Source organism: Homo sapiens, chromosome 10 (assembly GCF_000001405.40).
Source record: "Homo sapiens chromosome 10, GRCh38.p14 Primary Assembly".
NCBI lineage: Eukaryota > Metazoa > Chordata > Mammalia > Primates > Hominidae > Homo > Homo sapiens.
The window spans coordinates 36,040,361-36,067,697 of record NC_000010.11 but is presented as its reverse complement, the minus strand read 5'-3'; the positions used below and the strand labels follow the sequence as shown (position 1 = coordinate 36,067,697).

The 27,337-nt window shown below is 39.3% G+C and overlaps 1 long non-coding RNA gene across 1 annotated transcript in view; it reads right to left on the bottom strand.

Annotated features, from left to right (window-relative positions):
* Positions 1-23,294, bottom strand: part of LOC107984222 (uncharacterized) — a 28,038-nt gene extending 4,744 nt beyond the window's left edge. Inside the window, exon 1 of the long non-coding RNA XR_001747423.2 lies at positions 23,213-23,294. This is a non-coding gene — a long non-coding RNA (uncharacterized LOC107984222). The remainder of the gene's footprint in view (positions 1-23,212) is intronic.
* Between the last annotated feature and the right edge of the window lie 4,043 nt (positions 23,295-27,337).

Genomic DNA, 27,337 nt, shown 5'->3' with positions numbered 1-27,337 from the left:
GTGTCCCTTCATCAGCTGGAAACCTCTGTGGCTGGTGGCACCTCTGATTGAGTTCTCTTCATACCCACTGGGCTCATTCCACCCACTCAGCCCGGCCAGCTGTGCTCAGCTAATGCTGCTGGCCTGGATCCCACACCTGCCAAGGGCAAGCCAGGCATGGAGTGGCAAGAGGTGTATGAGTGAGCAAGCACAGGGTCTGGCCACTGCACACAACCAGATATGTTGGCTGCTGTGGTATGACAGGCAGCTCCAGGCACCGGCACAGGCACTGGCTCAGTGAGAGGCTGCGGCTGAACCAGATGTACCACATGTGGCTTCTGCTGTGGGCATCAGCGTCTGGACAATGGGAATGCAGTGGCACCCAAAAGCTCAGAGACACCAGGAACCACAGATCCCCAAAGAGGGTGTTACAGTGTGTCACAGCCCTGGCTCAGGGAGCCTAGAGGTCTGCACTCCCAGAAGGGCCACAGCTCTTCATTCCCACAGTCTGGGAGTGTGTCACCACCCACAGCTCAGCAAGCTGGCCAGGAAAGCATTACACCTCCTTTCGCTCCAGCCATTCAGTGGGTCCCGAGTTCTTGTCTCATGTCCAGGAAGAATGAGTTTACAGGGACTACTAGAGGGTGAGTAAGGCAAAGAAGAGCCTTATTGAGAGACAGAACACCTCTCAGCAGAGAGGAGGCCTGAAGTGGGTAGCTCCTATCCACAGGCAGTTTGTCCCAAAGAGAGTAGAGGAGGCCCAAAATGGGTAGCTTCTATGGCAGGCAGGTCGTCCCAGAGAGTGTCTGAGTCTGGCTGAGTCTAGGGTTTTTATGGGCTCAGGAGGGAGGAAGTGCATGCTGATTAGTCCATGGGTAGCCATGGTTGGGGCTGGAAAAAGCACCATAAGTTCCCACTCTGGGTCATGGACTTCACCTGAAACTGGCAGCCCAGCCCCCAGGCTTCAGTCCATCCCTGGCTTGAAACTGGGAATTCACTGGGGACCTGCCCCTTCCCACCTAGGAACCTGTCTGCCTCCTGCCACCATCAACATGCTGTCTGCAGTGCCCAGGCTGTCCATGCTAAGGAGTGCCCACAGGCCCTTGCAGAGCCATCCTCAGCCCTCTGGGCCTCCCTCCCTGAGCTCATTGGTGCCCAAAGTTTCAGAGGGGTCTGGGGCAGCAGGCAGCTAGTGTGTCAGCACTGCCCTTGGCACATGCACACCCAGCCAGGTCATGACAGTGCCCAGGCTTGACCACAACTTTGCTCCACACTGGAGTGGGCACCAGGAATGAGGAGAGGCCAGGGAGTGGGAACAGGCACTTCCAAGCCTGCCAGGGCAGGAGTCTTCGCAGGCCCCTGAGAGTGCAAGGATGCCTGGGTCTGGAACCATGGCTGGGTGGCTGGAGCTGTGCATGGGAGTGTGGGGCTCCTGCCCCACCAACTCAGTAGGGTGCAGGGCTTCCACCTGTTCCTGGCCCCCACTGGCTTCATGGAGTGCATGGCCCAGGCTGCAGCTCGCATCCTCACAGTGGCTGCTCCAGATGGGCTGCTGCAGCCATCAATGATAAAAACAGATCACAGTGATATCAGGGCAGTGATACACAAGGTGGGGAATGTCCAGCCACTTTGCTAAATGTAGCAATGTTTGTGGAGGGTCTCCCAGTAATCTCCTTCAGCTCCCTGTAAAGGCACCCCAAATAAACATAAAATATATACAAGAAATGATGTGCTTGCCACGCAAATGCAAATTGAAGGCCAATTCCGTATTCCTGACTTCTAACCAATTAATCATCCCATTTGCACAATTTCCAAATAAAATTCTTGCCTTCTTTTTGATAATGGTCACTTTTTAAGGAGACCAGGTCTTAATGAATTGGTTAGTGAGTGAAAAGTTCACAATTCAGGGTTTGTATATAGTAGTGTGAACTAGCATGCCTTAAAAACAATGAAAAGGATAATGAGGGCTTGATCTGAAAATAAAAATGCACAGCTGTGCCTATATAAAGAGGAGGATTTATGAAACCAGGTCATGAATTTATAGCAGGAACCCAGTCATCATTTTTCCCTTCTGTCATTAAGGTCTCTTTCTGCAGAGATTCCCTGTTCCAGACAGAAAAATTCCAAATTATAAATATTTTCTGTAGGAGTTGCCCAGTCAAACCCTATTCAATGAGCAGGTAAGTTCTGTGGCAATCCGTGTCAACTGAGGAAGAATAGATGTGTTCATGTGCTCATTTTACTGTGTGTGGCCTCTAGCTGAGAATCTTTACTCAGTTTTCTTGCTCCCATCCTTCTCTTCCCTTTCTGTTCTCCCCTAGCACACACGTTGAAGGGCCCAGATGGAAGGGACCCTCCCTATGTGAGAAGGGGAAGCCCAGCTGAGATGGAGAAAATCATAGCAAAAGTGGTCACTGAGGAGGTGGAAGAGGCAGGTGGTGGAAGAGGAGGACGGCCTGGCAAGCCCCTGTAGAGGATGTGAGACTTCATCCTCTGGGCAAGGGGTAATGATTGAAGTAGCTCCCAGGGGATAAGCATGGCAGGGGCACCCTGAGAGCAGTGTCTCTACACGATCTCTCAGACTGCAGAGTGGAGGTCACACAGATGCGGGGTCCAGAGTGGGTCACTGAATTGGTCAACAGGATGCTGTACGGGCATTTTTGGGCAAGTCAGGATGGTGGTTTGAACTTGGCTGGTGACCATGGAAAGAACAGGAGCAGTACAAGTGGGGCTTTGGAGGCAAAATCCACATGATCTGTAAATAGGCTGTATGTTTGTGTGTAAGGGAGAAGGAGTAGCCAGGGGCTTCTGCGTGTTTGCACAGAACCTCACGCTGCTCGTGACAGGCTCAAAAGGACTCGGCCCTGTCTGCATGTGCACCCTCTCTGTGGAAGGAGCAGCAGTCCCGGACACAGGAGGTGAGGGGACCATGGCCAGCTGCCCACTGCCTAATGCCTTGGAATAGCTCTTACCTCCTAAGTACCCAAATTTACATCAAGTACATGATTCAATCATTCTTACATTTTTTCCAAAAAAAAAAATTATGACAATAAGCTCTTTGTTTTTGTCTGTTTCTACCATGCCTGTTTCACAGTAGGGTTTGAAACTTAAATTTCAAAATATCCTGAGAAATAAGACTCCTCTTGTGTTTCTGACCACGTGGAAGCAAAAATAATAAGACAGGCTGAGCGTGAACATGTTTACAGATTCATCCTTAAAACAAAAAAAGAAGAAAATAGATGAAGCATTTGATGTTTGGAATCTCTTTTCAAACTGAACCACATTATTTGTATTTTCAAGACCATAAACTTGTGAGGATTTCCTAGTTGGTGTTGGTGTTGTTCAAGTGCATGTTTTACAATCAATGCTCTTTGGGGGTTTTATAAGCTTGTTTGTTTTTCATGGTTCCTATCCACAACTAAAATAGGTTGGATTTTGCTGATTACATGAACGTTGAGTCTACTGGTTTTATGACAGTGCATTATCACCATTGCTACATGGAGATTAATCTTTTTCCATTAGGTTTTTAGGCTCAGAAAGTATTCACTTTTACAAAGAATGTAAACCATTACTATTAACTCTAGGAAATCTGAGGATGAGTTTTTGGTGGAACAGTTCTGGAAGATGGTTAAATTCTCAAGGCATAAGTCACTTGCATCTAATAAAACACAATAGATATGTTGTGTCTAATAAAACACAGTAGACTCCACGTGTCAAAGAAAGTATCCTCAAATAATATAATGATATGAAGTAGAAATGGCAAAATGGTAAACAAAGCCAGCTTCCCCGTAAAATCTCAGGAGGTTGTTTCCCACGGGCTCTTTTCATGAAAAAGACTTGAAGTAGTTTACAATAAAACACACACACAGAATAAGACAAAAATAATACAGAAAGGCAGGATTGAGAAGATAGGTGTTATTCAAGGGATTTGAGGGAGATGTTGCCGAGGCTATCTCACCAGCTTTCCTCCCGGGCATGCGAAGGATGCTGCTCTCAGCTCTGGGCTGCTGAGTGACGCTGTGTGACTCGTATGAGCCAGTGAAATGGGAAGGAAGGTGACAGGTGCCACTTTCTAGTGTAGGCAATGAAAAGCCCATGTGTGAGCCTGGGTTCTCTGCTCCCCTGACACTTCAACTGAGGACAACGTGTACTCCCAAGGATGAGGGAGTGGAGCCCACATCCACTTAGACTTCTGATGGAGTCTCCCTGCCAACCTGCTCAGGGCTCTTTGTTGATTTTGCTAAACCACAGAAATTTGAGGGGATTTGGGGCTTATCCTAGCCAGTCCCGACAAATACTGTGAGTGATTATTTAGAAAAGGAAAAAGAAATGTCTGTTCCCCAAAAGGCATGGATAAGTGAGATTAACAATGATACAAAGCCTAAACTAAGTAAATAATTGTTCATCGAATATAATTGTGTTAGGTTCTGTTTTTTGAGTATTTGCATCTATTAAATGTTCATGCATTATCTCACTTAATCCAGACGTGGGAAGGAGAGTTTAATGGAATTAAATAATTTACATGATTTCTAAGAAATAGAGCAGGACCTGAACTCAGTGGGTCTATTTCTAGAGCAGAACTTGGAACTGTGATTCCAAAAAAGGACTTTTGCACAGAAGGTTGCCTGGTAAAATTACCACAACTCGGCAGAAGAAAAACCTTTTCCTAGTTCCAAATAGACTGAAACTTGGCACATGAAGTTTTAAATAAGGAACACAATGACCAACTTATTTGACAGTAGAAGAATAATAACAAGAACATGGGTTATGGGATGAGGTAGGCACAGGGTTGGATACTGGGGTGATCATGCTTTTTGAGGGAGATAATTAAGAAAAACAAAATGCCCTCTTACTCAGGTGAATACTGCAGAGAATCACATGAAATCTAGAGGTCCCTAAAAGATGTTGGTTTGTCTTTTTTAAAACTTTTTTGTTTTTGAAATGAAGTTTTCACTCTTGTTGCCCAGGCTGAAGTGCAGTGATGTGATCTCAGCTCACTGCAACCTCCGCCTCCTGGGTTCAAGCAATTCTCCTGCCTCAACCTCTTGAGTAGCTGGGATTACGGGCACACACCACCACACCCGGCTAATTTTGTTATATTTTTAGTACAGACAGGGTTTCATCATGTTGGCCAAGCTGGTCTTAAACTCCTGACCTTAGGTGATCTGCCCGCCTCAGCCTCCCGAAGTGCTGGGATTACAGGCGTGAGCCACCGCGCCTGGCCTATATCTTTGAAAATTCTTTAAAAGATGTTACTTGCTCAAAAGAAGACATTTATGCAGCCAAAAAACACATGAAAAAATGCTCACCATCACTGGCCATCAGAGAAATGCAAATCAAAACCACAATGAGATACCATCTCACACCAGTTAGAATGGCAATCATTAAAAAGTCAGGAAACGACAGGTGCTGGAGAGGATGTGGAGAAATAGGAACACTTTTACACTGTTGGTGGGACTGTAAACTAGTTCGACCATTGTGGAAGTCAGTGTGGCGATTCCTCAGGGATCTAGAACTAGAAATACCATTTGACCCAGCCATCCCATTACTGGGTATATACCCATAGGACTATAAATCATGCTGCTATAAAGACACATGCACACGTATGTTTATTGCGGCACTATTCACAATAGCAAAGACTTGGAACCAACCCAAATGTCCAAAAATGATAGACTGGATTAAGAAAATGTGGCACATATACACCATGGGATAGTATGCAGCCATAAAAAATGATGAGTTCATGTCCTTTGTAGGGACATGGATGAAATTGGAAATCATCATTCTCAGTAAACTATCACAAGAACAAAAAACCAAACGCTGCATATTCTCACTCATAGGTGGGAATTGAACAATGAGAACTCATGGACACAGGAAGGGGAACATCACACTCAGGGGACTGTTGTGGGGTGAGGGGAGGGGGGAGGGATAGCATTAGGAGATATACCTAATGCTAAATGACGAGTTAATGGGTGCAGCACACCAGCATGGCACATGTATACATATGTAACTAACCTGCACATTGTGCACATGTACCCTAAAACTTAAAGTATAATAATCATAAAATTAAAAAAAGATGTTACTTGCATATGCAATTAATAAAAATACTGTGTTGCATAAACACAAATATCAGTTTCTTTTCAATGTAAATGTCACAATTTTAAAGAAATGAATTCAAAATGAACATTCTCTAACTTCAGAAGGGAAAAAAATAACATAAGTATTGTCTTAACTGCATTGCATACAATGAGCTATTTTTAAAAAGCCCGTATGTGAGATGGTAAAAATATTTGAATAAAATTCAGCAACTCACTCAATTATGTTGAAGTATCTCGGGTGAAAGAGCATGCTTGATCTAAATTATTTTTTATAAATTATTCATTTTCCTGCTTTATTTAAGTGAATATAGACTATAGGAAAACTAGTATCTGACCAAAGTGTGGATCCAAAATATTGGCCCTGTCACCTTCATATTGAGAGGCCTCCTGCAGTCCAGGGCTGAATAATCACAAAACACAGCTTATGTAGGTTATTGAAGACCTACTTTGAGGTCTTTGAGGCCTGGATGTAGAGCAACATGTGAATGCCCAGAATGTATATGAAGGTCTCTGCAACAGCACCACATCAGGCTGAATAACACAAAACAGAAAATATCCTCAAAATTCCACTCATGTTCCTAACACTCACTTTTTACATTGCTAATGGAGGCTCAAAAAGAAGGGTTTGTCTGTCTTTACTAAAAATACAAAAATTAACCGGGCGTGGTGGTGCGCACCTGTAATCCCATCTACTCAGGAGGCTGAGGTGGGAGAATCACTTGACCTGGGAGATGGAGGTTGCAATGAGCCGAGATCACGCCACTGTACTCCAGCCTGGGCAACAGAGCAAGAATCTGTCAAAAAAAAAAAAAAAAAAAAAAAAAAGAAGGGTTTGCAACTGAGCAGCCTTAGAAAACTATCAGTCTTTTTCCCTGTCTGGGTTGTTAAGTTTTGTTTTATTTTGTTTTTGTTTTGTTTTGGGTTTTTCAGATAAGTGAAAGGAATAGCAAGAGGTTATAGAAGTCTCTAGTGGACCCAGAAGCCTTGGAATGTGCCTGATTTATCTTAAGGATTGGATCTATCCAGTATAGGCTAATCAGCCTTCAACATTGGCCATGCAGTAAGATGTAGATTACTGATATCATTTGGATCTGTGTCTCCACGGAACTCTCATGTCAAATTGAAATCCCCAATGTTGGAGGTGGGGCCTGGTGGGAGGTGATTGAATCATGGGGGCTGTTTCTCCTGGTTTAACACTGTCCCCCATGATGTTGTCATGGCAAGGGTGAGTTATCACCAGATCTGATGGTTTACAAGTGTGTAGCCCCTCCCCACTCTGTCTCTTCCTCCTGCTCCAGCCATGTAAGACGTGCCTGCTTCCCCTTCACCTTCCACCACAATCAAAAGTTTCCTGAGGCCTCCCCAGAAGCCACAATGCTTCCTGCACAGCTTGCATAACCAGACAATTAAATCTCTTTTCTTTATAAATTACCCAGTTGCAGGTACTTCTTTATAGCATTATTAGAATGAACACAATTAACTAAGTAAAAAAGATCTTGCATAAAAATAACAGTTTTCATGTTGGGGGGTTATGAATACTTAGTGGTTTGCAGATCACCATCAAAAAACCATGAATGTCCACAAACTGCAAGTAAATTGTACATGTTCGGGAAGAAGCCCCATAGCATTCATTAAAGTTGCACTATAGCTGAAGCTGGGTTAAAAGCACCTCCAGTGGTGTGATGTGATCACAGGGGTCTTGACCCACTTCCCTCCTTAATGTGATTAGTCTATTTTTGCTTCCCTGATGCATGTCACTCATATCCTGCAGTCTCTTCCCCTCTATCTGGGTCCCAGCTGCTGTATGCTCTTCACCCTTGCCTTGTCCTTGCCTGGATTCTGTTTCCAGCAGCTGATACCTCCTCTATGATATACACTATCCCTTGCTCCATCCCACCTAGTATTGGACTGGAAAATCCACAAGAAGATTCTTGTTCTGTGAATTGTTAAAAATATTTATAAGTGGATAGATTTTTGCAATATGCATCATCAAGGTCAATGGAAACATTGTGAATTACTTCTATAAAGCCTTGAAATAGATTTAAGCAAAATATTAGACAAATGGTGATTTGTTTTTAAATTTCTTAACTCACATACTTTAGAAAATAAAATTCATGCAATGTCTGTTATTTAATTGGGTAATTTTAAAATGAATCATAAGGAAGTCAAATCTAGCATGTATTTAATACAATAGGAGTAGTAGTAAAATTTAAAAACTGAGCATATTCCCAAAAAAAGTTACAGCCATGAAGATACATTCTTGGGTAGTTTTCATAATTGACTGGGTCATACTTATATATACTTTTCAAATAATGTGGAAATCATCATTTATAACATGAAATTTGGACAGCACGGGTCAAGAACTGTTACAGTGAAGGCCACAGCAGTGAAAATGAGTTTGTTCCTCCTGAATTTCTTTGCAATGATTAATATTTGACTAAATTCAAAATGCCAAGTAAGAGAGAAGTGGAGGTTCAAGGACTCACCAAGAAAAATGAAATTGTTTTCCCTGTGGAAGATCAGGAATCATGAAGTATAATTAAAACATTTTATTTAAAAGAAGGCAAATGTTCTAAGAACTTTCCTAGAATCCCAATTACCACTGCAGGTGCCAGTCACACCAACACTTGACTGGTTTGGTAACTGTTTTTGCTAGAGGCACAATAAAAAAAAATCTTAATTTAGTTTTTTCACTACTTTCAGGGTCAGATATCCCCAGCAGGCACAAGAGCATCTGCCCAATGTCCTGCACTTTTCAGAGGAATGTGAAGGAGCAGTGATAACTGGAAATCTACTAAGCTTTGATTCTGACCTCCACACTCCCCCTGGCAGTGCATTTAAGTCCCAGCCATAAAAAAAAAAAAAAAAAAAGGACCGCTACTAGTGGATTGACATCCTGAGAATTACGCCAGCCTGAAGAAAAGAGTTTAATCAATTCTGATGGAGAAAAGATGGAGTGAAAAAGCCATGTATAAAATGGTCAGCATGGTGAGAACAGCTTGCACTGGTCTGCACTCTTGGTTTCTAAAATATTTTCACATAGATGACCTTGTTTGATACCCCCATTCACTCTGTGAGGTTGAAAGTGAAGTATTTTCAGCTCTTTTTGACAAATTGCAATTTTCTAAATTAGCAAATGAAGAGGGAATGTCAGGCAGCAAAATGGTGTGGTGTTAGGCAGTAACCCTGTGAGAGACAGGCTGAGCTCCCAGAACGATTCCTTCAGTGCCATTTCAACGTCTTCCAGCCACTGCTACTGATATGGGTTGGCTGTGTCCCCACCCAAATCTCATATTGAATTATAGCTCCCATAATTCCCATGTATTGTGGGAGGGACCTGGTGGAGGAGGTAATGGAATCATGGGGGCAGTTTCCCCCATGCTGTTCTCATGGTAGTAAGTCTCATGAGATCTGATGGTTTTATAAGGGGAAACCCCTTTTGCTTGGTTCTCATTCTCTCTTGTCTGTTGCCATGTAAGACATGCTTTTGCCTTCCGCCCTGATTGTGAGACCTCCCCAACCATGTGGAACTCTGAGTCCATTAAACCTCTTTTTCTTTATAAATTACCCAGTGTCAGGTATGTCTTTATCAGCAGCATGAAAACAAACTAATACAGCTACTGTGAGCAAGGAGTTTAGTGATATTCTCATGACCTTCTGCTAACAGCTCTGGACATGCAGATGTGGGGGTTTCCCTTCCTGATGCCTTGCCTCAAACCTCAGACAACTTGCCATTTAATTAGCCCTCTGACTTCCTTGACCCACCAATCTTTTTTTTTTTTTAAGCTTAACGTCTGGGGAGGAACGTGCTTTCAAGTTGGTATGGACAATATGGACCAACTTAATCACTGTCACCCCACATCTGTTCTCGAAATGAGAACAAGAGTAACTATAGAGGCTGTTCATGTTTACCTTTCTGGGATTTGGTTTTCTTATATTTAAATTTAAGGAAGAAGACAAAATAAGTCTCCAAGACCCATACCAATTTCAAACAAGAAAGGTTTGCAGTCTGGTAAAAAAAATATTTGTAAGACAATCACTCTTACAAAACTTACTTCTAAGGCCACTGGAGAATCTTCAGAAGTTCCAATAATTTATAGAATTCACTGCCAATGAATATTTCTATCGAGACTCATATCTAAACAACCACATAGCCATTATCACAGCATTATAAAGAGTATCCGAAATGCTAGTAGAAACAACCCCAACCTAGAAATGACTCAGAAAAATGAACAGCATGTGCAAATGCCCCTTCCTCCCGTCATCTCCTCACCTCAGGGATCCCTGGGGTGGCTGCCAAAAAAAGCCATTCTGGGTAGGCAAAAAGCATGAGAGGAATTGGAGGTTCAGAAGTAAAGAAAGGGAAGGTACTGTGAAAAAGGCAAGGCAGCATGGAGCTGGCCAGGGACAGATGCACAGAACGAGCTGACCTTCCCCAGCCCAAAAATATCTTCCCCCCACTGTGCCTGAAGTTTTGACTACACTTTGGCACGCTGGCTAAAATCACATCACTGGGACATGCTTTTTGGATAATAAGCAGAGGCTTTTCTTCCCCCCCAAAATGCAACTAACTCTAGGAGAGTTCAGAGACTGTCAAGCTCTGCATGCACTTGTGTGGGTTGATTCGATCAGATTGCTTTCCTCCTGACACCTAGCTGAGACCAACAATCCTGAGTTACTCAGAGTTTTGAAAAGCTGGAAAGGGTAGGTAGGTAATTTTGGTGAAAGATAATTTTAGGGAATGGGCTAATTTTGGTTAATGTAGATGGAGAAGTCCAGAAACACTGAAAAATGAAGAAGTTGCAGAAATCTTTTAAGAATGTCAATTTCCTATTTCCAGCTGCTTCCTGGAGCTACCCTCAAACCCAGGAAAGGAGGGACCAGACACTTTGGCTGATATTCCATGCTTTTGAGGATTAGGTAATATCTCTTTCACAGATAAGAAAACTGAGGCTTAGAAAGATAAAGAGACTTGCCCAGGGTCAAGGTCAGACCATGTTACCTCCAACACGGCAGGCTCCACTCCATCCTCTTTCTTACCCTCCTCCTTTTGGGTTTCTTACTGCCCTCCTCTTCACTGCGACTAGGACTCAAAAGTGGAGGCAACAATACTAGCATAACAATGTTGCCCAGGTCCCATTTCTGTGATCCCACCTGGCGAGGCTAGTGAACATGTGTGCCATTGTTTCCGTGGAAGAAAATATGTGCTGGGCTCCAAACAGCCAATTTTTAAATAAGCTATTGGCATGCAATTGCTCGTAAGTTGAGGAAATCATACTTTTCCCCCCATCTACAAAAGTAAATTAATAAAAACTGTAGAGATAACTTCTTATTTGAAATCTTCCTCCCTGTTCCAAGGCATCGTGGTTGGTGTTGACTTGTGCTCTTTGAGCAGGAACTGTCCTGCACAAGCCAGGCTAGAGATTTAGTAAATGTATCAAACAAATAAATGAATGTGAGTGAATAAAATCTAATCTGGGTATCTTACTCAATAATATAGTTATATGCATGTATTTTTCAGATTAGACTGCAGAGGAAACCATGGGCTATCTCTGGATCTGGCTGGCAACGAAAAGCAACTACATGTGGCATAATTTATTTGCTTTAGAACAACAAGTTGGGACATGAATTTGTTTAGTATCTTCTGGTATTTGTACTCCCTTTTTTGTTTTTTAGTCTTTACTCTTCCAAGAGTTTCTTTTGACTGTAGAGATGAGAAGAATGGACTAATTCTAGAACCAATAATGGAGAGCTTAACTTGGAAATATGAGCAGATAGGTAATTTCAGGATTCGGAGATCATGTGGCGGGGGCATTAAATAAAAATCTGTGAGTTGAAAAGTACAGTCACATGCATCAGGTAGTTGAGGTGTTAATGAAACAATTCCATTTTAGAACTTTCTAGGAGCAAAAGCTTAAACTCCCCCCCACCCCCACCATTTCTATCACCAATCTTTGGTTTAGTCTTGAGTTTTCAATCTAAGGGGAGAAGCCTGACCATTGGTTACTGGCAGATCTTTTGTAAATTCAGCTACTCAAGGGAACAGCTCAGAAAACTTACTTATTAATAAGGAAATCCCTACAATGAAATAGTAATTCCAGGGCATGACGTAAATGTGGGAAAATAAGACAAATGTGATTTGAACAATTATTCCCATTTCTGAAGGCAAGGGAAGCGATTTCCTATTTGAAATTTCTTGAAGAAACAGAAGCTAGGTGCAGGTGAAAGGATTCAGGAAACCTGGTACTGGATGTAATTCAGAGCTGTGCAATCACACTGCTAATGCCCAGGACAGAGGATTGAATAAGGCAACAGTGGCATATACATATAATGGGATATGACTGAGCTTGATAGGGGGAAATCCTGTCATATACAACAACATACATAAACCTAGAAGACACTACGCTAAGTGAAACAAGCCAGGCACAGAAGGACAAATACTGCATGATTCCACATATAGTCAATCTAAAATATTCTAACACATGGAAGCAGAGACTAGAATAGTGGTACCATGGGCTTAGGGAAGGGGGAATGAGGAGTTGCTCTTCAATGGGTATGAATTTCTAGTCATGTAAGCTAATTAAGTCTTAGAAGTTTGCCGTACAACATCGTGCCTATAGCTAACAATATTGTATCTTACACTTACAACTTTGTTAAGAGGGTAAATCTCATGTTAAATGTTCTTGCCACAATTAAAAAAAAAAAAAAAAGACTGCTTGGCTTCAACTCTCAGATCCACCACATATCCTACCTGAGTGGCCTGGGGCAAGTTTTTAAACTTTCCTCATTTCAGAGTAGGGGTGGCAAATGAGGAATCCTGAGACCTCAACTGGTTAATACATGTAAAAGCACTGGGCATAGTGTAAGCCCTCACACACCATTAGCTGTTTACTTCAGGCCTAGTGGGCTTGAGACCTCAGGGAAGTTTGGCTTCTCTAGATCTCATTTGCCCCATCAAGAGGACACAGTGAGGCAGCCCTGAGCCAAAGCCACGTTTGCGAAACAGAATGAGTGACCTTGGGGGCAGCAGAGCAAGTAAATACTAAGGAACATCGTCGTTGCACTCCTTACAACCAGCAGGAGTAGATTAAAGCAAGCGAGATCATGAATTCCCTGCAAGAATTTCCCTATGAACAAGAAAGATTCTTGAGCTGCTGCCTGAGATAATTCAATTCCAAGAGATCTACCACTAATTAGTTCTTCCCTTAATTTGGAATTTTTAAGTGTAGACCAAAGATTGACAGTAGCATTGGAGATTTAAGCTTTTGCTTCTAAAAAAGTTCTAGAATGGTATCATTGTTTTTAAAAAACCTCAGCTACTTTACTGCAATGACTGATGTGTGACTGTATTTTTTAAAATTCATCATTTATGATTCAACGCATCCATGCACTACAAGTAATTCTGATCCTAAAATTTTCTATGCCCTCAAAATTCCAAATTTATCTTTCCTTTTTCCCCATAATGTAGCCCCTGCCCCAAAGCATTCCTTTATATACCCCTGAATTTCACCTCCAGTCACAATTCGTTCCCCTTACAGTCACTCCTCAGGCTGAGTCTGTCATATCCTCTCTACGTAAAACTCTCCCATCATCATTTCAGCCCAGAAAATTCCAGTCACAATTGCCTTCTGGGGAATCTAAATCAGGTTATGGTAATGTGACAGCTCATTCAATATCCTGAAACTCCCCAGCCTCCAGCCATCAACTCCCATTCACAAATTCATATTTTATAGAAAAACTTTAAATGAAAGCTTAGATTAGGCGAAGATTGTAGTTTGGTCAAGATACCTGCTGGGATTCACATTCTCTACGGAGGAATCTGACTGAATTCTAAAGAACAATTAAATGCAGTCAGTATTACTTAAAAGTTTGAGTTTCTCAGTAAAGGCAGTCTGATAAGAAACAATGATCTGGAGCTTGAAGGAGGCACCCAGAGATTGCAAGTTTCAAATTCACCCTCTAACATCAGGACTATTAGAGAGCTCCTTTGATTCAGACCAAAATGGTCAAGACCATGTTCAGGTAGCTCGTATTTTTAAGATTGTTGGAATATTTGACTGCGGTGGGGGCACAGTACATGAGCTAACAGTTGAATGGACATCAGAGGTTTGAAACAATGTGCTTTGCCACTAAATGGCCATGTGATCTTGGGTAAGTCACAACTCATATGGGACTCCCTGTTCTTATCTATGAAATAAGGGCTAAGTCAGATGTCAAGTATGTCTCCTCCCATGCTAACAGGATTTTCCGTGTACGTTCAGCAATCAAGCCCACATGGCAAGACCTGAAGGTTCACGACCTAAATTTCATTTTCTCAGTGAAACGTGCTCACACGGATGATTCTCTATTTCTCTCTCCTCTTTAGAAATATATTTACAAGATGCTATTGCTGTCTTCCTATAACCAAGTTGATTCAAATTATTATCTTTTTCAATTTTATAAGAAAGTAGGTCTTTAGTTTTGAAAACAATCCTACAAAACATATTTAAATGCGAACTTATCAAGAACAAGATGCCTTTTGCCCAAGTCAATAGAACCTGTCCTAAACCTGTCATTTAAATGATCACTCATGAAATAATTTTATCCTATAAGAAGACATGAACTGAAGGGAGACACAGGTGTGATGGAATGGAATGCAGCCTGAATGCTAACAATCTGGTCCCGTTTCTGCATCTTGCATGAGTGGCCTCATGATCTTGAATGTCCCTTCCTGCTCTAAAATTTGGTTCCTCTGGAAAACACACTCCGTTCATTTTGGCCTTGAGTCTTAGCAATCTCATATGGTAAAATTGAGGGTCAGGTGCATAGCAAACAGTTCATAAACACTTATTTAATATACAACAAATTAAGCAGAGGTTCTCACCAAATTCTACCGTGCTCAAGTTCATAAGAACTGAGAAGAGTGGAAGATTCCAAAGGAGGAATATAAACATATAAACATATGCAATTGCATTTTCTGATGGATCCTTAACTATTGAAGTATAAGTTTACATTCGAGGCGTGTATACCTCCCACAACAAACTCAGATGGTTTGTATGTCATGTTTGAAAATTATATCATGTTTTATACTATCAGAAAATTAGTCCTGTAGCTGTATCCTTTGAGATTTGTAATTGCTACAATGTGCCTAGTGTGTTGTGCAGGGATAAAAGATTCAAGAAATCTGATTGATGTGTTCATGGTTGTTCGAGAAAAAAACAGGCATTAGAGAAACCGTTCAAGTGAGGATTAAAGCCAAAAAAAAGCTAAGCTCTTTCAAAACGGATACTTTTCAGAGTCTGCCTAAAAGATAATGTCTCCCAAGGTACTAAAAGCTATTGTGTTATCTGGGGAGGGATGCTCATGGCTGTGTGACCTTGGGCAAGTCCCTTAGTTTTCTATTTATAAAATCAGGCACTCAAACCAGATATCTTTTCCAGCTCTAAAATTCTATACCTGAATCTGAGAATGAATGCCTTCTTGCAGATGACGTTTAATTCTGGCTTTTTATTATGATACAGTGCGGTTCAAATATAACCCAAACAAAACCATGTCCCCCACTGCACAAAAAGCAACATCCAGAGCAAGCTTGATTTACATGGGAATTAGATCCAACCTCAGATTTCAGCATTATGATGGGTTCCCACCAGAACGCGCTTGAGTCTCCTCCACCCTGTTCAACTGTGCAGTAAATCTTCAGGATGTGAGATCAGTACTTGCTCTGATAAATATATGATCAACATTAAGCAAATGCACTAAATCATCAGCTTCCCTCTCCTCAGTCTCCCTTCCCTGCCAAATTCCTATGGAAACAAACAAACAAAAAAGTCAGAAGCAGAAAATGTTTTCGGCCCAATACATGATTTGTTTGACCAAGATTGCCCTACATTTTATCAGCGTGGCCTCCACCTGCCCTCCCACCTAGCAGAACTATTTTCAGCACATAGGCCAATGCTTATTTTTGTAGATGCACTAAGCCACATCTCCTGTTAGGCAGTTTTTGTAGAGGAAGTTATTCCTTAAGCCCATCCAGCTGTTTTCTCAAGTGTACCTTTAGGAAAAAGGGAACGGGAAGCCTGAGAAGACATGGCTAGCTCAGAACTGTCCCTTGTGACCACAACCCAGGAAAAATATCTCAGGGAACTTACCTTGTTAATAGCAGATCAGCAGCACCTCCTTGTATGAAGGGCAGTCATCTCATTTCTTTACTTGGCCGTTGTAAGTCCTGGATAATTACTTTTCTCATTCTAATTTAATTTGCATTAAGCGCGGGGTGTTTAGTTTTTGAGACCTAACACTCAAATCTGGCAGACACTGGCTTGTGGTTAGGAATGCAAGACTCCTGGGAAAACATCTGGCCTCATTCTGAATAAGTGCCTGAATTCATTTTATTCTCATCTAGAAACCTCTCTGAATGTCCTTCCTAATGAAGTATATGCTGCACACACATTATTTTAAAATAAAAATAGATTGACAAATGACCTTTGAGAGAACCAGGAATAGAAGAATGTTTGCTACTTTACCATGAATTAATCATTAAAATGATTCCTAACATTTTCCTAAAATTTTAAAGAACGACACACCAACTCAAGACATTCCAGTTTGACAATCGTGCTTTGAATGGACTGCAGCATTTTCAGCTCTCATTATTATCACATTGTCTCACTGTAACTTTACTGAGTCACTATCACAACTACAGAATAAAGCATGCTGCATAACCTTTCTGTATACAGTACCTATCACGTAGTTACTAAGCGTTACAAAACATAAAAAGGGTGACAGCAATATTTTAGCTATGAATTAACTAGTAGTCACTTAGAAACTGTTGGCCTTTCATTAGCATACAGACATGCACACATATTTGCATATGTATTTGTGTATGCTTGTATATGTATACATAGACATGTATATATGTATATATTAGCCAATCAACTGGAAGTGTTTTTATTTCAATATATGGACTATGTTGGAGAAGAACTAGAATCTCCAAACAAATGATAATGTATCTCTACTCTAGCTACAGGAATCCGATGTAATTCTCTTCATCTACCTACACCATCATATACAAGTAGAATTTCCAAGAAAGTACTCACTTATTTCTAAATATTTCTCTCCGTTTAGTGCCAGAAAGCTAAGGGGCCATGCATACTCAAGCTGATAAAATGTCATTGAAGCTTCCAACATAAGGAGACATGGAATGCATTTGAATTAAAGAAAGTAGTGAGTGATACAATGCCTGCGCCTCCTCAACTTCTCCTTCTGAAAACCTGACCTCCTGAGAGTCTAGATGTGTGGGATGAAGAAATGCAAATGGTCCAAAGCAGTGTGTGTCAAACTCAAAGCCTGAGTCCTCTAAGTGGATCCAACAATTCTCAGGAGGGTAACATCAGGTATATTCTAATTCGATGAGGAACTGATGGGTAGGTTTTTTTTGCATTAAATAAATAAAAGTAATACTATTTCACTCATTACATTTTTTTCAGTAACTCTCCACATTAACTAGTTCTATGGAATACTGCATGCTATATGTTATGTTCTCCTCTTCCAGCCCCCCTAGAAATATTTAAAATGTGTAAAAATTTACATTAAAAGGTTTTATTAACAGAAGAGCTAAGATACCACCATCTTCCAACATTTATTGTGGACTACAAGAAATCATTGAGAATTCCTGGAGGACATAGTTCTCAAAAGCCATCCAACTTTGCCATTTGTGAACTCTGATTTGTGTGGTGCTGGTGATGTACGCCTCGGTTTCTTCCTCCAGACTTTCCTGAATTTCCTGAAACTGATCCTCTTCAGAGAACATCTCATCAGCATGCATACCTTCATCCCTCCCCACCCAAATCTAGAGGCCACCAAAAACATCCTCTCTGTGGAACATATTTGCAACATTTTTGACTTGGTGTTCCTATTTCAGCCATTTCAATACCAGGAACTCTTTGACATTGTCACATGGGCTATTTTAATCCTCCACATTTTGACATAACCTAAAAAAATTAAATAAGATACTGTAAGATGAGCTTTCATAAGTTGTGTGTGAAGTATCCACCCCCCACTGCATCCTTGAGCCATAGGCATTATGGATCCCCAGCCTCTAGAGTGAACATCAGCAAAGAGATGGGAGTTGAAGAGGCAGAACCAGAGATGGGGCAGAGGTTAGTGAGCCAGAGGTCACTGAGAGTCATGTTCACCCACAACTTCTCACCCCCAAGGAAGGCTGCCAACTGCTCCGAGCAAACTCTGCTTTTTCTCTGAAAAGTCATCTATATTTTGAAAGACCTGCATTGTGACTTCCCAGATTCAATAATACATAACTAGAAGGAATCATGTAAAGCAACAGTGTCGTGCAGGTTGCACAGGAAATCTGCGATTCCATTCCTCTGGATAATGTATTTCATATGTAGGACATCTCTGGCTTTGGACAATGGGACTAATAGCCCATCTGGAGGCAGATGCACTTTAGAAATGAGATTCCACTTCCAAGCACAGTAGCATGAGTAGTTCTGAAGATCCATTTCTTAGCAAAACTGGTAAAAATTATTTTTTATAAAAATAAAAATTAAAAGCCCTGGAAATGATCCTAAGGTCATACAGCAAATGAAGAAATATTTATTCAAGAAAACTTACTAAACCTCAGTAAGAACAGTGGCAATCTATAATATTTGTGCCAAGACCCACCCCCTCCCTCTCCCCTCCTAGTTCAAGGAGATGGAAAACCCAACCCAGAGAAGTGCAGCCAAGAACACGAGGTTTGCTCCTCACCCAGTTCCTCAGAGGATTATCGTCTCTGGAGGGGCAGGACATCCCCATTTCCCTTGCAGTCCTTAGCTACCTATTGCTGAGGCTAAGTTCTAGGTGAGTGAGGCCGAGAAATGAAGGCTTCTTTCTTCCACTCAGCCCCCACTTGTGGGACAGAGGTTCTGCCTTGGGTCTGGCAGTGCTGAAAATTATCCAGCCCCAGTCATCCTTGTCTCAGCTGGAAAGGTAGAGGCTTCACACTCAGAGAAGAAGGCCAAGAAGACCTAAGGCCACTGCCACATCCACCCATTGAGCACTAAGCTTTTAAAGCCCTAATGTCACACTGTCCTAAAAGCAGCAAGGTAAAAATGACTTCTCACTAACATAGGAAACCCAATAAGAATAGTAGCTGATTTCTTTCTTTTACAGCTTTTCCTGCCCCTCCATCCCTTCCTTCTCCTCACTTTTTTTTTAGACAGTTTGACCTGAATGACTAAACTGTAGACACAAGGGATTTTTGTAGGTCCATTGTGACTCATAGAGTTTAAGCATCCAATTAAATATCTCTAGGCTTCAGTTCCTAGGGTTTTTCAAATTTCTGCTGACAATTATTTCATATATAGACATTTTAAAACTAGGACTCAACTGTTTAATCATGCTTAAGACACAGTTTTTTAAACATAATGCTTTTTTGTATTATTAACAATATTTTTAAAAACTTTTATTTTAAGTTCAGGGGTACATGTGCAGGTTTGTTATATAGGTAAACCTGTGTCATGGGGATTTGTTGTACAGATTATTTCATCACCCAGGTATTAAGCCTAGTACCCATTAGTTATTTTTCCTGATCCTCTCCCTCCTCCTACCCTCCACCTTCCAATAGGCCCCAGTGTGTGTTATTCCCCTCTATGTGTCCATATGTTCTCATCATTTAGCTCCCAGTTATAAGTGAAAACACATGGTAATTGGTTTTCTGTTCCTGCCTTAGTTTGCTAAGGATAATGGCCTCTGGCTTTATCTATGTTCCTGCAAAGACATGATCTCATTCTTTTTTATGGCTGCATAGTATTGCACAGTGTGTATGTACCTTATTCTCTTTATCCGGTCTACCACTGATGAGCATTCAGATTGATTCCATATCTTTACTATTGTGACAATCAACATACGTGTGCATGTATCTTTATGATGGAATGATTTATATTCCTTTGGGTATATACCCAGTAATGGGATTGCTGGGTTGAATGTTGTTTCTGTTTTTAGGTCTTTGAGGAATCACCACATTGTCTTCCACAATGGTTGAACTAATTTACACTCCCATCAACAGTGTGTAAGTGTTCCTTTTTCTCCACAACTTAACCAGCATCTGATATTTTTTGACATTTTAATAATAGCCATTCTGACTGGTGTGAGATGGTATCTCATTGTGGTTTTGATTTGCATTTTTCTAATCATCAGTGATGTTGAGCATTTTTTCATATGCTTATTGGCTACACATATGCCTTCTTTTGTAAACTGCTCATGTCCTTTGCCCACTTTTTAATGGAGTTGTTTGTTTTTCTTTTTTCTTGTAAATTTAAGTTCCTTACAGATGCTGGATATTAGACCTTTTTCAGACACATAGTTTGCAAATATTTTCTTCCATTTTGTAGGTGGTCTGTTTACTCTGTTGATAGTTTGTTTTGCTGTGCAGAGCTCTATAGTTTGATTAGATCCCATTTGTCAACTTTTGCTTTTGTTGCAATTGCTTTTGGTATCTTCTTCATGAAATCTTTGCCATTCCTATGTCCAGAATGGTATTGCTTAGGTTGTCTTCCAGGATCTTTATAGTTAACAGCTGAGTATTGATTAGAAACAATGAAGGCCAGAGACAATGGCATAGCATATGCAAAGCACTCAGAGCAAAAAACTGTCGGCTGACAACTCTATTCCCAGCAAAGCTATCTTTCAAAAATTAAGTTGAAATAAAGACATTCCCAGATAAACAAAAAGAAAGAACTTGTTGCTAGCCAATTTATCTTACAAAAAGTACTAAAGAAAGTTCTTCAGGCTACAAGTATGTGATCCCAGAGGGTAAATACATGAAAACACAAAGAGCCCTGGCAATGATGATTATGTAATTATAAAAAAAAGCATAAATGCATATGTCTACTCTTTTCCTTTCTCAACTGGTTTAAAAAGCAACTTGATAAAACAAAATGCATGTAATTTATTTTTAGGTCCATAACATATGGAAATATATTTGTAATAATAGGACAAAGGAGGTTGTGGGAACAAAGCTATTCTGGGCTAACAAAATCAATCTACATGGTTACTGAAATCCATAGGAGCAAAGGAAGAGATACAGAAATCACAAAAATGAAAGTTAATATAACAAAAGCTAAAAATATATAGATCCTCTGTTTTCCTCTCCCAGCATCTTAAAACTTAAATCTATATAATATCATAATTATAAGAATATAATACTGGGCTTGTAACATTTATAGATGTAATAAATATAACAATGATAACATAAAATGGAGGAAAAAGGGGCTGGGCGCGGTGGCTTATGCCTGTAATCCCAGCACTTTGGGAGGCCAAGGTGGGTGGATCACGAGGTCAGGAGATCGAGACCATCCTGGCTGACACGGTGAAACCCCGTCTCTACTAAAAATACAAAAAATTAGCTGGGAGTGGTGGCAGGTGCCTGTAGTCCCAGCTACTAGGGAGGCTGAGGCAGAAGAATGTCATGAACCCGGGAGGTGGAGCTTGCAGTGAGCTGAGATCACATCACTGCACTCCAGCCTGGATGACAGAGCCAGACTCCATCTCAAAAAAAAAAAAAAAAAAAAAAAGGAGGAAAAGAGAATAAGAATAAAACTATATTGGAGTAATGTCTCTTATACTGGAATTAAGTTAGTATAAATTCGAAGCTGATTATGATAGGTTAATACATGTATGGTAAGTCATAAAGCAACCACTAAGGAAATAACTTAAAAAGTTAAAAAAATTTAAGAAATAAAAATGCTACATTAGATAAATATTTGCTTTATCTAATATATAAGAATTAGAGGAACAAGAGAGGCATGAGACATGTGGGAAATAAGAGGTAAAGTGGCAAATGAAAAAAGCCGACTATATCAATAATAGACTTAAGTATGAATGGATTAAAAAATCCAATCAAAAGGCAGATATTGTCAGACTAGACAAAGAAAGAAGACCCAATCACATGCTGTCTTCAGGAGACACACTTTTAATTCACAGATACAAAGAGATTGAAAATAAAATGATAAAATATGTATATATATCATGCAAACAGCAACTGCAAGGAAACTGGAGTGACTATACTAATATCAGACAAAATGGACTTTAAAACAAAAAAAATTACTAGATATGAACAGGAGTATTTTATAATCATAAAAATGTCAATTCATCAGGAAGATATAATAATTGGAAACATGTATACCCGTAACAACAGTGTACCAAAATACATGAATTAAAAGCAGCAGAAACGAAGGAAGAAATAAACAATTTAACAATAATAAATGGAGACTTCAGTGCCCCACTTTCACGAGTGTATAGAACAACTAAGCAAAGACCACAAAGAAACAGAAGTCTTGAACACATTAACCCTGACATACGTCTAGAGACTACACCACCCAACAACAGACCACCTGGTCTTCTCAAGTGCACACAGAGGCGAACTCCTTCAGGATAGAGTATATGCTAGGCCATAAGACACACCTTGATAAACTTTAAAGTACCGAAATGGTAAGAAGCATGTTCTCTGACCACAACTAAATGAAATTAGTTATCAATATCTTAAACAAATTTGGGGAATTGACAAATATGTGGAAATTAACCCTCTCCTAGGTAAACCAAAAGGGAAAATAGAAAACAATTTGAGATGAATGAAAATGTAATAAAACAACATATAGAACTTATGGGATGCGAATAAAGCAGAGGTTAGATGGAAATTGATAGCTATAAATGCCTATACTAAAAAATAAGAAAGATCTTAAATCAGTAACCTAACTTTCCACCATAAGGTGCTAGCAAAGAACAAACTAAACCCAAAGCAAGTGCAGGGAAGGAAGTACTACTAAAGATTAGAGAATAGAAAACCAACAGAGACAATTCATGAAACCAAAATCTAGTTCTTTGAAAAGATAAATAAAATAGACAAACCTTAACTAGATTGATGAGGGTATAAAACATGAAATGAGTCAAATTACTGAAATAAAAAAAAAATGAAAGGGGATACTGGTACCACCCTACAGAATTAAAAAGGATTCTAAAGGAATTTATTTACCAATAAATTAGATCACTTGGATGAAATGGAAAATTCCTAAAAAGACATGCTCTACAGAAACTGACTCAAGAAGAAATATACAAACTTAATATACCAATAACAAGATATTTAATTAGTAATAAAAAATACCCACAAAGAAAAGTGCAGTCTCAGATGTCTTCATGAATGAATTCCACTGAACATCTAAAGATTTAATACCCATTCTTCACGAACTCCTGCAAGAAATAGAAGAGAATAGCTGACTTCTTAACTCATTCTATGAACACAGTATTATCCTGATACCAAAACCAGACAAAAACATCACAAGTAATAACTATACACCAGCATGCATACCTTATAAATACAGATGCAAAAATCCTCAACAAAATACTAGATAGTGGAATCCAGCCACATATAAAAGGAAATACACATCATGACCAAGTATGATTTATCCCATGAATGTAAGTTTGACTTAACATCTAAAAATCAGTTAATGTAATACATCTTATCAGTTTAATAAAGACACCAAGATAACATTAACATGATTATATCATAGACAGAGAAAACACATTTGACCAGATCTAACATCCTTTCTTGATAAAAATACTCAACAAACTAGGAATACAAGTAAAAGTCCTCAAGATGATAAGGGGCATCTATGAAAAATGCACTGTTAATGTAATAATTAATAATGAAAGACAGAATTCTTCCCCCTTATGACCAGGAAAAACACAGGAATATTATATCTTGCCACTTCACCCACTTCTATTCAACATTGTACTGGAGGCTCTTGCAAAGGCAATTAGGCAGGAGAAATAAATAAAAATACATCTAGATTGGAAAGGAATAAGTAATACAATTTCTATTCACATGTGACATGATCTTGTATACAGACAATTCTGAGGAATCCACTGAAAAACTACTAGAACTAATAAAAGAGTAGAGCAAACTTGCAGGATACAAGATTAATATAGAAAAATCAATTGCATTTTCACACATTTCCAATGAATAATTAGAAAATGAAATTAAGAGAGCAATTTCATTTACAATAGCATCAAAAAGATCAAAATACTTAGAAATAAATTTAATCAAGGAGGTACAAATCTTATAATCTGAAAACTACAAAATGTTGAAATGAATTTTTTAAAGATAGAAATAAATTGAAAATAATAGATGGAAAACTATCTCACATTTGTAGACCAATATTATAGATTCACATTATTAAAATGGCAATATTTCCAGAATTAACCTACCATGTAATTCCTATTGGAATCCCAGTTAGCTTTTTTGTAAAATTTGTCAAGCTAATTCTAAAATTCATATGGAATTGTAGGGTAGTCAGAATAGCCAAAATAATCTTGAAAATGAATAATAGAGTTGGAGGGTTCACACATTCCAACTCTTTGAAAACTTACATTGCAGACAAAAAGCAATCAAAACAGTGTAGTCCTAATAGAATGAGGGACTTGTAGATCAATGAAATAGAATTGAAAGTTCAGAAATGAAGCCATGTATCTATTTTCAACTGATTTTGACAAGGGCACAAGATCATTCAATGGGGAAAGACTAGTCTTTTCAATAAATGATGTGAGGAAACTGGATAGCCAAATGAAAAGAAAGAAGTCAGACCTTTATCTCACATCATATATGACAATTAATTCAAATGGATCAGAGACCTAAATGTAAGTGTTAAACTATAGAACTCTTAGAAGAAAACATCGAGGTAAATCTTCATGACCTAGTGTTTGCAATGGATTCTTAGCTATGGCATTAAAAGCATGAGTGACAAAAGAAAAAATAGATAATTTGAGTTAATCAAAATTAAAACCTTTTGTGCTTCAAAACACACCATCAAGAAAGTGAAACACAATCCTCAGAGAGAAAATATTCGCAAATTATATACTTCATAAGGCATTTGTATCTACACTATACAGCTCTTCCAAATAAATAATTAAATCCACATAACTCCAATACAAATGGGAAAATTATTAGACACTTCTTCAAGAAGATATACAAGTGACCAACAAGCACATAAAGGAATGCTTAACACCATTAGTCATCAATGGAAATCTAAGCCACAATAAGATGGTACTTCACACCCACCAAAATAGCTATAATCAAAACATAAGACAATAGCAAGTGTTGACAAGGAGGTGGAGAAATCCTAATCCTCACACACTAGAGCCACTTTGGAAAACAGTGTGATAGTTCCTTGTTTTGGTCAGCTCAGGCTGGGCAGCTTAAGATAAACATATTTCTCACAGTTCTGGAAAGGCTGAGAAGCTGAGATTGAGGTGTCAGCCAATTCCTCACACGGCAGAGAGAGGGAGCAAGTTCTGGTGTCTCTTCCTCTTATTATAAGGACACTAAATCCCAACATGAGGGCTCTACCCTCACGGCCTCATCTAAATCCAATTCTATGCCAAAGGCCCCTTCTCTAAATACAGTCACATTGGGGGTTAGAACCTCAGCATATGAATTTGGGGGGATGGGAGGGACACAATTCTGTCCGCAGCATTCCTTAAATGGTTATTTAAACATAGAGTTATCATCAGACCTAGCAATTCCACCCATAGACATAAACCCTAGAGAAATGAAAATACATTCACACAGAAACTTATACACAAATATCTATAACAGCATTATTTAGAACAACCAAAAGGTGGAAACCATCCGAATGTCCATCAACTGAGGAATGGACAAACAAAACACAGCACAGCCATACAGAGGTGTATTATTCGACCATGGATACTAATGAAGTACTGATACATGCTACAACATGGCTGAGCCTTTCAGATGTTATTCTAAGTGAAAGAAGCAAGTTACAAAGATCACACATTACATGATTCTGATAATATAAAATTTCCAGAATGAAAAAATTTATTAAATTCTATTTATAGAAAGAAAAAGTAGATTAGTGATTGCCTAGGGCTTGGGAGAATGGGGTGATGAGGAGCTATAACTTAGAAAAAGGGATTTCTTTTTGAGGTAATGGAAAATGTATAAATTAAATATGTCAACAGTTGCACATATCTTGAATATACTGAAAACTATCAAATTGCGCATTTCAAATGGGTGAATTTTGTGGTATACAAAGATACCTTAATTAAACTTAAAAATCTAGAGACTAACAGTAATTTCATGGTCTTTCCTGATTATAAAAAGTTATATTATTCAGTAGTGGTAATAAGAATAGCAATAACTATAAATAGCTTTAAAGTAAATAGTGTACAGTTAAATAAAAAATAGAAACAACAAGAACAAAATACCAGCCCATAAAACACATAAGCAATACAAAAGTGAATAAGAGGGTCCCATAGCTTTGGTGGGTGGGGCAGCGTAACAGGCAGGGACATAACTTTAAAACATGATTTTGCTCTTTGATAGGATCATTTCATGCAGTTATGTCAAAACTGATCATTCAAAATGGCTTTGTCAAATGCCCCACGTGGCTATGGGATTGCCCTCTCTGCAGCAATCAATTCATCTCCCAAATGTTTGATCTGCTAACAGCTATTGTGGCCACCTCCCAAGAATCCATGGCCCATTCTTTCATTTCAGTCTGTTAAATCAGCTTTTTAAAATCTAGAGTCCACAACCACTAAACTTCTACTAATTTTATAGAGAAAAGAGAGTAAGTAAATTGTCTTACCCTAAAACCAAATCATTCTTCATTCTCTTTATCCTTTTTCTTTGCTGTCCAGAGACTCACAGACTCACATCCGGTTTTCTTTAGTTTTTTTTTTCTTTCTCAGTCATCCTTTCAGGTCATTCTGCACATTATTATTCAAATAGTTTCTCCAGGGCACATTTTTACATTTGTTTTTTAAAATAACATTTTAACATGTTTATCAAATAATCATATACATATTTATATATAATTATTATGTAACTATTCAGCAATAACAACACAGTTTTAAAAAATTGTTATATTAAAAATAGAACTCTAGACTAAAGAGAACTGATATGAAAAAAATAAAGCAGAAAAAATCCAAAAGTCCATGGTTTACTTGCTTTTTTTTTTTTTTTTTTTTTTTTTTTGAGACGGAGTCCTGCTTGTTTCCCAGGCTGGAATGCAGTGGCACCATCTCAGCTCACTGAAACCTCTGATTCCAGGTTCAAGTGATTCTCTTGCCTCAGCCTCCAGAGTAGCTGGGATTACAGGTGACTGCCACCACGCCCAGCTAATTTTTTTGTATTTTTAGTAGAGATGGGGTTTCACATGTTGGCCAATGAACACAGCTAATTTTACTCAGCCTATAAAACTCTACATGCAGCA